Below are 13,253 nucleotides of genomic sequence, written 5' to 3' on the forward strand. Positions count from 1 at the left end.
ATATTCTATATATGTGTACATATAGATATATATATAGCTCTCTATATATTCAAAATCAAACACTTAAGTTAATATTTTATAGGTATATATGGTCGATGGATGTGTGAATAAAACAAAGTAGTAAGGAAGTGAATACCACAAAAATAATATTACAGTTACCTATATGTGAAAAGAAACAGAGCAGTAAGGAAATGAATACCATAAAAATAATATTACAGTTACCTACCTGTGCAAAGAGAGAGTTCTCATTAATAAAGGACAAATAGAAGTTTCTGGTATGTAGTGATGTTTTATTTTTTGACATCGTTGTAGATACATAGAGTTTTTGCACTATAAAGCTACATTTATATGTTTATGCAATTTTGTATATATTTTTCACATTTGTGCATATCACATTTCACGTAAAATTTTCATGACAGAAAAGAGAGTCAAAAGTAGTCCCTTGGAAGCCAAGTACAAAAAGTATTTCATAAAAGGGAGTGAGGTGTAATTATTGATTATCTGTAGGTTAGATTGTATTGCTGCTATTTACGGAAAACTATACTTTCTAATAGAAAGCCCAGAATTTAACATACATATTTATCTTCCCTGAATGTGGGTAGGTCTCTGCCACAGACAGACCTGTCCCTGAAGAAGAAAGAAACAAATTTCCCTCTCTGTGGGCATAGTATTTTATTAATACAGAGCAAGGGGTTCCATGCTTAATATATTCTTCCAAATTTATTAACCTCTTATCCAAAGAGAAAGAGTGGGCACTAAGAGGACTACAGCTCATGGTAGCATGTTTTCAGGAGAGTAACTTCCTAAAATTAGTTATTAAATCAATGTTTAATGGAAAATATGGCCATCCTCGCAAGGGAAAACAAGATCAGAAGGTCATGGGACCCCTTAAGATTTATTTGTATTTTATTATTCTCTGAGTAAAATCAGATGAGCTATGACTTCTTTTTTTTTCTTTTTTTTTTTTGAGACAGAGTCTCTTTCTGTTGCCCAGGCTATAGTGCAGTGGAGCGATCTTGGCTCACTGCAACCTCTGCCTCCTCTGTTCAAGCGACTCTCCTTCTCAGCCTCCCGAGTAACTGGGACTACAGATGGGTGCCACCATGCTTGGCCATTTTTTTTTTTTTTTTGTATTTGTAATAGAGACAGGGATTCACCATGTTGGTTAGGCTGGTCTCAAACTCCTGACCACAGGTGACCTGCCCACCTCGGTCTCCAAAAGTGCTGGTATTGCAGGCGTGAGCTACCACACCAGGCCCAGATGAGCTATTACTTTGTCATGGTATAGATTTAAAAACATGAAATATTTTAATATTTTAGTATTTTTTTATTTTATTTAGAAATTAATTGTAAATAATGTGTTTCTTAATTAATTTTAGGTTTTATTATTATTTACATTCCTAATCTATCCCATGTACATATTCTGTTAAGCAAATGATTACACATTTAATTGTATTATTTTTTATTCAATAGTATTTATTGAACTGCTAATATAGTTCAAGAATTACTCTACATATTGATATAAATACCACCAGCTTTTTCTTTTCAGGTCAACATTGTTTTACTGTAAATTATACCAGTACCCTTTTGCTAACACATTATGGCTTTAGCTTTTGTGATTCATAAAACAGATGTGAAAAAAAATCAATGTGGTTCTAAAAGTGAACAATGCCTCTCAGTCTAAGCTACCATCACCACGTGAAACCCATCATTAATGCACAATATAAAAATATCATGAAACCAGTAAGTCTTATTTTATTTTTTTCTCAGGACACAAGGAAAATAATAGAAAGGATGGAAAGCTATGATTTCTTTTGATAAGTTACTGCTTTTCAAATTAGGTTCATTCTCATCAGATAGTCTAAAGTGAGGTGATTATATTTATTATTATTTTAAATTGTTTTAATAGAAATGTTCCCTACTATATTGTATCTCTAGAGAGATGAATCAGTATTTTAAAATATTAATAACTCGTTGTATAATACTTAATGCTTTACATCCTAACCAATTTTACATAGAAAGTGATTGGTGCAGACACAGTGGAGGAGATGGATTTGATGTGAGATATATCATATAAATAGTTGCTTTATAAAGGAATCACAATAGTATGTGTTATAGAAAATCTTGACTTCATCTTTCTCAACATCTACCTCAATTTATAACAAACTTTTCTAATCTTATCAAAAAATTATTTGCTCACAAATTACCAATCAGTTGTCTTATCCTTAACCTCACCTGAAGTGTTTATCTATGGAAAACCTCTAAGGTTATCTTTTTAAAGTTTTCCCACCTGAGAAAATAATGTGTTCTTTGACATAAATGTTGATCTATGCCAGATATTAAGCATATTGAAAACAAGTAGGCATAGATGCAGAGAAAATATGGGATTATTTGTCTGTGGTAAAGCACAATATCACACAAATGTTTACTCAGTAACAGGAAAAGGCTGTTAAGCCTGTTAGAAAAAAAAGTTCCAATTATGTTCACATCTATAAATTGAAATAATCATAACCGGTAATTTGATCCTAATTTTGTTTACATGTGTCAATGTGGAAGTTCAAACTCTAAACATGTACTACAAATTCATTAAAAAATCCATGCTCATGAAGCCTCATATCATTATAGACTCCTTTCCATTTATATTGACACTTGCTTTCAACTGAATCTTTAGGCATACTGAATGATCCACCTGCTTACAGTCCCACATACCTACAGAACTAAGTTACACTATTAAGATACTCATACAAATGACTATATTTATAAGTAAATATATAAGCATGTTTTAAAAACTAATCTATGAAAGTCCAAATAGAAAAGAATAATAAATGTACACTAAATTATGATTATGTAATTTAATAACAATTTAGAGAAAGATTATGTAAAACAATGGATGCACTGTTCTAAATCAGTGGTTCTCAATTATAACTTGACTCTGAGTCACCTGCCGGGCCTGTTAAAACCAGATTCTGCATCCCACCTTCAGAGTTTCTGTATCTTTAGTTCAGGTGTGGGGTTCAAAAACTTGCATTTCTAAAAAGTTCCTAGATAAGGTTGAAGCTGCTAGTTCAATAACTGCATTTTGAATACCACTGCTTTAAAACATTCAAACTGTGATTCCTTTTTTAAAATGTTGCTTTACATGCAACTGTATATAGAATATTAACCATGAAAAAAAATAACTTACAAATAATCCTGAATGGTATTCCACATTCTAACTTTCATTTGAGATATTTAGAAACTGAGACACAAGGATATTAAGTGAATCATTCAGCGCATAACTCAATGCATTTTACACTGAAAATGAATTGTGGATGCATGAGAAGATTCATGGCTATATGGGTTGAAAAGGTGAACAATTAGTAATAGGTAAGAGAATATTTTGAGAGATAAGAAAAGATTCATTGGACTACAGTGACTACACAATACCAGTAAATATATTCTAAATTAACAATGAAAATATTAATTGAAGCTGACTTTTAAGTTTCAGTTTCTACATATAACAAGACTGAAAACATCAATTGCATCCTTACAACAAGACAAAAGCTGAGCAAACGAAAAATCAAAGACATTTTCTTACTCACTGGAGAATTGAGGACTCTGGGCAAACCACCACCCAGGATCTATAAGAGACAAGAGAATACATAAAATCACAGTCAAAATCGGCTTATTTGGACCAGAAGCCACTGGAGTCCTACACTATCTGGAACACTTGTATGATTCTTTTCATGAATTCTGAGGACTGTAAACTAGTATGAGAGTAAGAAATTTCTGGGGACCACAGTCTTTGAATACATTTACTTTCATGAGTTCACTTTCAGGAAATCCATGAGGTTCTTAAACCAAGTAAAATCAGAAGCAGAGGAATGAAAACAGTAACCACAGTGAAATAAACCCATATGTTCTCCATAACAAAGGCTTGCCCTCTAATGTAAACACTGTAATAGCCTTATTGGACATAGGCTGAAGGACGATAATTCTGACAACATCAGTTCCTGGGGAGCATATGGAGCACTGAAAACTCTCATTTACAGTGGGAATACAAAATGGCCTAACCACTGTGGAAGACAGTTTGGTAGTTTTTTCAAATGTAAACCAAATTTTACCATATAGTCCTGCAATCGTGTTCCTAGACATTTACTTAAATCATTTGAAAACTATGTCTACACAGAATATATACAAGAATGTTTGTAGAAGCTTTATTCGAAATCACCAAAAATTAAAAGCAATCAGGATGCTCTTTGATAGGAGAATTAAGAAATAAAATACGGTACGTCCATGCAAAAGAATAATATTCAGCAATAAAAATATGAATTATTAAGCCATTAAGATACATAGGTGATTCAAAGTTCCTATTTCTAAGTTTTAAAAGCCAGTCTGAAAGTCTACCTATTGCATCTTTCCAATTATATGACATTGTGGAAAAGGCAAAACTATAGAGACAACAAAAATTAGCTTAACTTCCCTATAACATCACCTTGGAGCTTAGGATATCAACATGAATTTTGGAGGGACACAAATATCCAGACCATGGCATTCTGTAAGTCTGAAACTGTTTACAAATAAAATATATCCAAAATGTTTTAAGCCTTTAGTAAATGGTTACATTTCATAAATATATTTTTTTATCTGAAAATCTTATTTCTTATGTCAAGGTTAAATTGAAATCAGAATCTCATCATTTCCCTAAATACCTGCCATAAATGATGGTAAAACCTACACCCAAATTCTTTAATGCATCTTTAAATTCTCCTGTCTTCTGGAATGAATGCTTAATGGTTTTGCTTTGTGTGTCTCTGTGTTTTTTAATCCTTTTTTCTTTCATCCTAGTCCTCTAACCCTTTTAGAAGCTAAATTTTGTCATTTTAATCTGATGGTAATTACTATATGCTACTCTATTCAGCATCAGACAGGATTGCCTCAGGGAAAAAAAAGAGATAAGTGCCCTGTGGAGTTTAAATAGATTTGTTCTGCAGATATGCCAAACTACATTTTATTTTTAAATCTCTATAAAGTGAATCTGAATCTATTTCAATTGTTGCATTTTATTGATGGTAAGACTTTTGAATGAGATTCTTTGTTCTACATAAAAAAATGAGAAAAAACAACCTTTTGGTATCAGCTACTCACATTATGTGTCTGATTTTACTGGAAAGTTGACTTAACTAGGCATTTGTGCAATCATTTTCCTGAATTAAATGGTGATATCTAAATAAAAAACATTTGTATGTTGACCAGTAGCAATTTCTTCTCTAAAGAAGGATGGTTACAAATTTTAAGGATAAGTATATGTGTTGCAATCATTCAAGCCGTATACTACATTAGACTAATTACATTAACAGAACATATATTTTGTTAGATTTAATAGTTGAAAATACTAGAAACAGAGAAATGAAATCAATAGATATACTCTTTTTAAAAAAAAGTTGATTAAGATTGAAACCAAAGGCTTTTAATCTTAATTATGGGGCAATTTCACCTAATAAAACCTTAATAAAAATAGACAGAACAAACTAGTTATTGGATTATACTTTTCATAAAATCTATTTTCTTCCAATGTTATTTTATTCATTTATTTTTAAAAATTTTATTATATTTTATTTTATTCAGTAGTTTTGAGAGAACAGGTGGTTTTTTGTTACATGGGTAAGTTCTTTAGTGGTGATTTCTGAGATTTTGGTGCACTTGTCACCAAAGTAGTGCACACTGTACCCAATGTGTAGTCTTTTATCCCTTACCCCACTCCCACACTTCTACAGTCCCCAAAGTCTATTATATTGTTATGCCTTTGCCTTATCATAGCTTAGCTCCCATGTATAAGTGAGAACATACGATGTTTGATTGTCCATTCCTGAGTTACTTCACTTAGAAAAATAGTGTCTAACTCCATCCAGGTTGCTGCAAATAACGTTATTTATTCCTTTTCATGGCTGAGTAGTATTCCATGGTGTGTGTGTGTGTGTGCATGTGTGTATATATATGTAGAATATATATATAGAGAGAGAATATATACACATATAGATATATATAGAGAGAATATATATACATATACAGATATATAGAATATGCATTCTATATAATTCTATATCTGTATAAATATATAGATATATAGATATATAGAGATATAGAGATATATAGAATATATATAGAATATGTATAGAATATCTGTATATAGAATATATATAGAATATCTGTATATAGAATATATATAGAATATCAGTATATAGAATATATATAGAATATCGGTATATAGAATATATATAGAATATCGGTATATAGAATATATATAGAATATCGGTATATAGAATATATATAGAATATCGGTATATAGAATATATATAGAATATCGGTATATAGAATATATATAGAATATCGGTATATAGAATATATATAGAATATCGGTATATAGAATATATATAGAATATCGGTATATAGAATACATATAGATATATAGAATATCGATATATAGAATAATATAGAATATATATAGAATGTCCACTTGGTTGATGGGCATTCTCTATATAGATAGATAGATAGATCTATGTATATATATAGAATATATATAGAAATGTTATATATATATATATATCACATTTTCTTTGTCCACTTGTTGGTTGATGGGCATTTAGGCTGGTTCCATATTTTTGCAACTGCAAATTGTGCTGCTATAAACATACAGGTACAAGTGTCTTTTTCAGATAATGACTTATTTTTCTTTGGGTAGATAGATACCCAGGAGTAGGATTGCTGGATCAAATGATAGATTTACTTTTAGTCCTTTAAGAAATCTCCATACTGTTTTCCATTGTAGTTGAACTAGTTTACATTCCCACCAGCAGTGTAAAAGTGTTCTCTTTTTACCACATCCACATCAACATCTATTATTTTATTTGTTAATTGTGGCCAATCTTGTAGGAGTAAAGTGGTATCTCATTGTGGTTTTAATTTGCATTTCCCTGATAATTGGTGATGCTGGGCATTTTTAAAATACACACATACATATTTTAATATATTAATGTAATTAACATATTTTTGTTTATTGGCCATTTGTATACCTTCTTCACAAAATTGTGTATTTATGTCCTTTGGCTATTTTTTGATGAAATTATCTGTTTTTTCCTTGCTGGTTTGTTTGAGTTCCATGTAGATTCTGGATATTAGTTCTTTGTCAGATGCATAGTTTGTGAATATTTTCTCCCACTCTATGGGTTGTGTTTACTCTGCTGATCATTTATTTTGCTGTGCAGAAGCATTTTACTTTCATTAGGTCCTACCTGTTTATTTTTGTTTTTGTTGCATTTGCTTTTGGGTTCGTGGTTATGAAGTATTTCCTAAGCCAATGTATACAAGAGTTTTTCCAATGTTAACTTCTTGAATTTTTTTAGCTTTAGGTCTTAGATTTAAGTATTTGATCCATCTTTAGTTGATTTTTGTATAAGGGGAGAGATGAGGATCTAGCTTTATTCTTCTGCATGTGGCTTGCCAGTTATCCCAGCACCATTTGTTGAATAGGGTGTGCTTTCTCCCCTTTATTTTTATATTTATTTATTTATTTATTTTTGCTTTGTCAAAGATCAGTTGGCTGTAAATATTTGGCTTTATTTCTGGGTTCTCTATTCTGTTCCATTCATCTATGTGCCTATTTTTATACCAGTGCCATGCTGTTTTGGTAACTGTAGCCTTCTAGTACGGCTTGAAGTCAGGTAATGTCTCCAGATTTGTACTTTTTGCTTTGTCTTGCTTTGGCTATAGGGGCTCTTTTTGAGAATTTTAGGAGTGTTTTTTACTACTTCTGTGAAGAAAGATGATGGTATTTTGATGAGAATTTGATTCTTGCTTTTGGCAGTATGGTAATTTTCACAATATTGATTCCCATTCATGAGCATTGTATGTATTCCCATTTGTCTGTGTCATCTATGATTTCTTTCAGCAAGATTTTAGTTTTCCTTATAGAGATATTTCATCTCCTTGGTTAGATATATTCCTAAGTATTTTATTTTATTTTATTTTTATTTTATTTTATTTGCAGCTGTTTTAAAGGGATTAAGTTCTCAATTTGATTCTCAGTGTGGTTAGTGGTGGTGTAGAAAAGTGCCACTGATTTGTATACATTGATTTGAATCTTTACTGAGTTCATTTATTAGTTCTACCGCTTTTTGGTTGACTCTATGGTTTTCTAGGTATACTATCATATCATCATTGAACAGCCACAGCTTGACTTCCTTTTTATCGATTTGGATGCCCTTTATTTCTTTCTCTCATCTGATTGCTCTGGCTAGGACTTCTAGTAATATGTTGCATAGAAGTGGTGAAAGTTGGCATCCTTGTCTTGTTCCAGTTATCAGGGGGAATGCTTTCAACTTTTTCCTTTACAGTATAATGTTGGCAGTGGATTTGTCATGTATGACTTTTATTACTTTGAGGTGTGTCCCTTTTATGACCATTTTGCTGAGGGTTTTTATTATACAGGGATGTGGATTTTATCAAAAGTTTTTTCTGCATACACGTATCCAAATGATCATATGATTTTTGTTTTTAATTCTGTTTATATGATGTATCACACTTACTGACTTGGGTATGTTAAACCATCCCTGCATCCCTGGTATGAAACCCACTTGATTATGATGTATTTTCTTTTTGACATGTTGTTGTATTCCATTAGCTAGTATTTTTGAGGATTTTTGTATCTATGTTCATCGGAGATATTGGTCTGTAGCTCTTTGTTGTTGTTGTTATGTCCTTTCCCTGGTTTTGGTATTAGGGTGATAATGGCTTCATAGAATTATTTAGGGAGGATTCTCTCCTGTATCTTTTGGAATAGTTGCAGCAGGATTGGTACCAATTCTTTGAATGGCTGTTAGAATTCAGCCCTGAATTTATCTGGTCCTGGACTTCTTTTTGTTGGCTATGTTTTTTATTATGGTTTCAATTCTAGTACTTGTTATTAGTCTGTTCAGAGTTTACAATTCTTTCTGATTTATTCTAGGAGGGTTGTATATTTCTAGGAATTTATCTAGCTCTTCTAGATTTTCTAATTTGTATGTGTAAATGTGTTCATAGTAACCCTGAATGATCTTTTATATTTCTGTGGTATTGGTTGTAGTATCTCCCATCTCATTTCTAACTGAGCTTATTTCGATCCTCTCTCTTCTTTTCTTGGTTATTCTGACATGTGGTCTAAAAATTTTGCTTATCTTTTCAAATAAATAGATTTTTGTTTAGTTTATATTTTGCATTTTTGTTTGTTTCGATTTCATCTAGTTCTGCTCTTTTCGATATTTCTTCCGATATTTTCTTTTCTTCTGCTGGATTTGGATTTGGTTTGTTCTTGTTTCTCTAGTTCCTTGAGGTGTGACTGTAGATTGTCTATTCGTGCTTTCAGACTTTTTGATATAGGCAATTAATGGTATAAACTTTCCTCTTAGCACTGCTTTTGCTGAATTTTATAGGTTTTGATAAGTTGTGTCACTATTATTGTTAAGTGCAAAGAACTTTTTAATTTCCATCTTGATTTCATTGTTGAAACAAAGATCATTCAAGAGCAGAGTATTTTATTTTCCTGAATTTGTATAGTTTTGAGGGCTCCTTCTGGAGTTAATTTCTAGTTTCACTGCATTGTCATCTGAGAAGATACTTAATATGATTTTGATTTTCTGAAATATATTGAGACTTGTTTTGTGGCCTGTAATATGGTTTATCTTGGAGAAGGTTCCATGTGCTGATGAGAAGAATGTGTATTCTGCAGTTGTTGGATAGAATGTTCTGTAAATATCTGCTAAGTCCATTTTTTCTAGGGTTTAAATCTGTTGTTTTTTTGTTGTCTTTCTGTCTTGATGACCTATCTAGTGCTGTCAGTGGAGTATTGAAGTCCCCCACTATTATTGTGCTGCCATCTATTTCATTTCTTAGGTCTAGTAGTAATTGTTTTATAAATATGGGGGCTCCAGTATTAGCTGCATGTATATTTGGGATTGTGATATTTTCCTGTTGGACTAGTCCTTTAATCATTATATAACGTACCACTTTGTCTTTTTTAATGGTTGTTGCTTTAAAGTCTGTTTCATCTGACATAAGAATACATACTCCTGCTTGTTTTTGGTGTCCATTTGTATGGAATATATTTTTCCACCCCTTTACCTTAAGTTTATGTGAGTTCCTAAGTGTTAAGTGAGTCTCTTCAAGACAGCAGATACTTGGTTGGTGAATTCTTATACATTCTCCCATTCTGTGTCTTTTAAGTGAAGCATTTATGCCATTTACATTCAATGTTAGCAGTGAGATGTGAAGTACAATTCTATTGATCTTGCTCTTGTTGACTGAATACTTTGTGGGGCTTTTTTTTCATTGTGTTATCATTTTATAGATCTTGTGAGAATTATGCTTTAAGGAGGTTCTATTTTGGTGCATTTAGAGCTCCTGTTAGTAATTCTTACAGGGCTGGCTTGGTAGTGACAAATTCTCTCAGCATTTGTTTCTCTGGAATAGACTATATCTTTACTTCATTTATGAAACTTAGTTTTGCTGGATACAAAAATACTGACTCAATATTGTTTTCTTGAAGGAGGCTAAAAATAGGACCCCAATCCCTTCTAGTTCGTAGGGATTCTCCTGAGAAATCTGTTGTTAATCAGATAGGTTTTCCTGTATAGGTTACACGATGCTTTTGCTTCACAGCTCTTAAGATTCTTTCCTTCATCTTGACTTTAGATTAGCCTGATGACTATTTGCCTAGGCGATTATCTTTTTGTGATTAATTTCCCAGGTATTCTTTGAACTTCTTTTATTTGGATGTCTAGATCTCTAGCAAGGCTGGGGAAGTTTTCCTTGATTATTTCCTTAAATATGTTTTATAAACTTTTAGATTTATATTCTTTCTCAGTAATCTCAATGTCTATTTGTTCTAGTCTATTGTTTAAACTTTCCATGCATTTTGCATTTCTCTAAATGTGTCTTTCATTTGCAGAAGTTGTGATTGTTTTTTCTTTATAATATCGATTTATCTGGAGAATTTTTCATCCATATCCTCTATTTTTTTAAATTTCTTAAGTTGTTTTTCACCTTTCTCTGATATCTCTTTGAGTAGTTTAATAGTCTAGCTTGTGAATTCTTTATCTGAGAATTCAGAGATTTCTTTTTAGTTTGGATCTATTGCTAGGAAGATAGTGTGATGTTTTGGGGGTGTTATAGAACCTTGTTTTGTCGTAATACCAGAATTACTTTTCTGGTTCCTTCCCATTTGGGTAGACTATTTCTTCAAATTATTCCTTAATGTATTTTTAATTGGACTGTTTTTCTCCCCTCTTAAGGAACAGACTAATGTTTACCTTAGACTAATTTGGTTCTTGGTATTTGTAGGGGTGAAGATTCTGTATGAATTCCTTAGTCATAGAATGTCTTTGTGTGCTGGCTTTCCCTGAAGCTGGTTGTAGTGGTTATATTCTTGGTGTGCAAGCTACTTCACTGTCTCCTATTGTGTTGGAATAGCAGGAATATCTTGAATTTTATTTCGTTCTCTTGTGGTGTATATTTTATTTATTTATTTAATTTTTTCCCTTGTTTTATTTACTCAATTGATGATTCAGGGTTCAGGACAATTGGTGAGGTAAACTTGGGTAGGCATTGGCTGTGGCTAAGGCAGGCAGATTGATCTAATAACCAACAGTGGGCTGAGGTCCCAGCCTTGATGAGGATGGCTGGGGGAGATCTCAGTTAGATGTGCTGACGTTTTATCAGTGTGATGAGTGGGAACCATCTCAGCTCCCCTGCTGGGTCAGCAGGAAATCTATTCACCTCACAGCCTCACTCTTGTTGTAGCATTTCAGCTATTCAGATAAGATAGGCATCTCTTTTCATCTATAGGAATGTTGATGCTCCAAGTAGGGAGGAATGATGACTCTGCCTCTCGTGCAGGCCTGAATCTGGGGTCTGCTCCTCCTGTGGAACTGCTTTCACCCTGGATATTTTCCAGAAAGGCTGGAACTGCTCTCACCCTGGATTGTGCCTTCATGCTGCACTGCTTTGGGGGAAGCCCCACCTGTGTCTGCTGTGTAGTACCAGAGGGGAACAAGGACCCCTTCTCCAAAGCCCTTAATGTTCACAGAGGCTGCCTGCCTGTTGGGGTGTAGGTACAGACTTCGCCTACTGCACCCAGCGCTGCAGTTGTGTCTCTGCTAGAATAAACCACGCACCAATGGAAAGATCTGGAACTCAAGGCCTGCTGTTCAGATTCTTTTGTTGTACAGGATGATCCCTTGATGTGGTGCTCTTCCTCTTCCCCTAGGGATGGGCTTCTTGACAGCTGCGCTGTAGTGATTATTATTGCTTTTCTCAGGATAGTCACCCAGCAGGGCTACCAGCTCTGGGCTGGTTCTGCGGAATGTCTGCAAAGAGTCTTGTAATGTGATCTGTCTTCAGGTGTCCCAGCCATGGATACCAGTACCTGCTCTGGTGGGGGTAGCAGAGGAGAGAAGAGACTCTGTGAGAATCTTTGGTTGTAGATGTTTAGTGTGCTGGCTTTCTTGAATGCTGATTACGCTAGTAGTGAAATTGTCACATGGACCTCTGGTTAGTGAGGATGTTGCAGTTCGTGGTATTATCTGTTGTTTTCTTCTTCCTGGGAGTAGGATTATTCTGTAATAAGTTGCTATAATGGCCTGAGTTGATTGGCCTCTAGCCCAGAGGTGGAGCTTGCAGGAGAGCAGCAGCTGCAGTATTAGCAGTGGGGTATAAGCTTGCCCTAAGTTGGCTGGGGGAAGTATTCTGGTTTCTCAAGGATGAGCAGGACCATAAAGCTTTCAGGATTGCATGTCTTTTGTGTTTGGCTACCAGGGTGGGTAGAGAAATACCATCAGGTGGGGGCAGGGTTGGATGGGTCTTAGCTCAGACTCTCCTTGGGCAGGGATTGCCATAGCCACTGTGGGGGACAAGGGTGTGGTTCTTAGGCCAAGGGAGTTATGTTCCAGAGGGGACTATGGCTGCCTCTGCTGTGGCATATAATTTGATAGGGAAGTGGGGGATAGCCAGTAGTGAAAGGCCTCACCCAGCTCCCACACTGTTGTTGAGTCTGTTCTCACTCCCCTAGTCCCCCACCAACAACAGTTTAGATCTGGCCAGCCTGAGTGTGGAACTCAAACCTGCCACAGGCTGTAAGCTTCCCCATTGAGCAAGAATGCTCAGCTTTTAGGCCTAACTCCTCCCTGTCTGTCCACAACTTCAACCACGGGTTCTTGCACTCATATCTGCAGCAGTTCCTGTTC

At 34.1% G+C, this 13,253-nt stretch overlaps 1 annotated feature.

Annotated features, from left to right (window-relative positions):
* Positions 11,553-12,080: an enhancer, noted in NCBI's record as "NANOG hESC enhancer chr3:94755350-94755877 (GRCh37/hg19 assembly coordinates)". NCBI's record gives its function as "activates a minimal SCP1, AML or CMV promoter by ChIP-STARR-seq in primed H9 embryonic stem cells {active_cell/tissue: H9 hESC(primed)}" and the evidence as "EXISTENCE:reporter gene assay evidence [ECO:0000049][PMID:30033119]".

The sequence above is a fragment of the Homo sapiens genome, chromosome 3, assembly GCF_000001405.40.
Source record: "Homo sapiens chromosome 3, GRCh38.p14 Primary Assembly".
In the NCBI taxonomy this organism is placed as follows: Eukaryota; Metazoa; Chordata; class Mammalia; order Primates; family Hominidae; genus Homo; species Homo sapiens.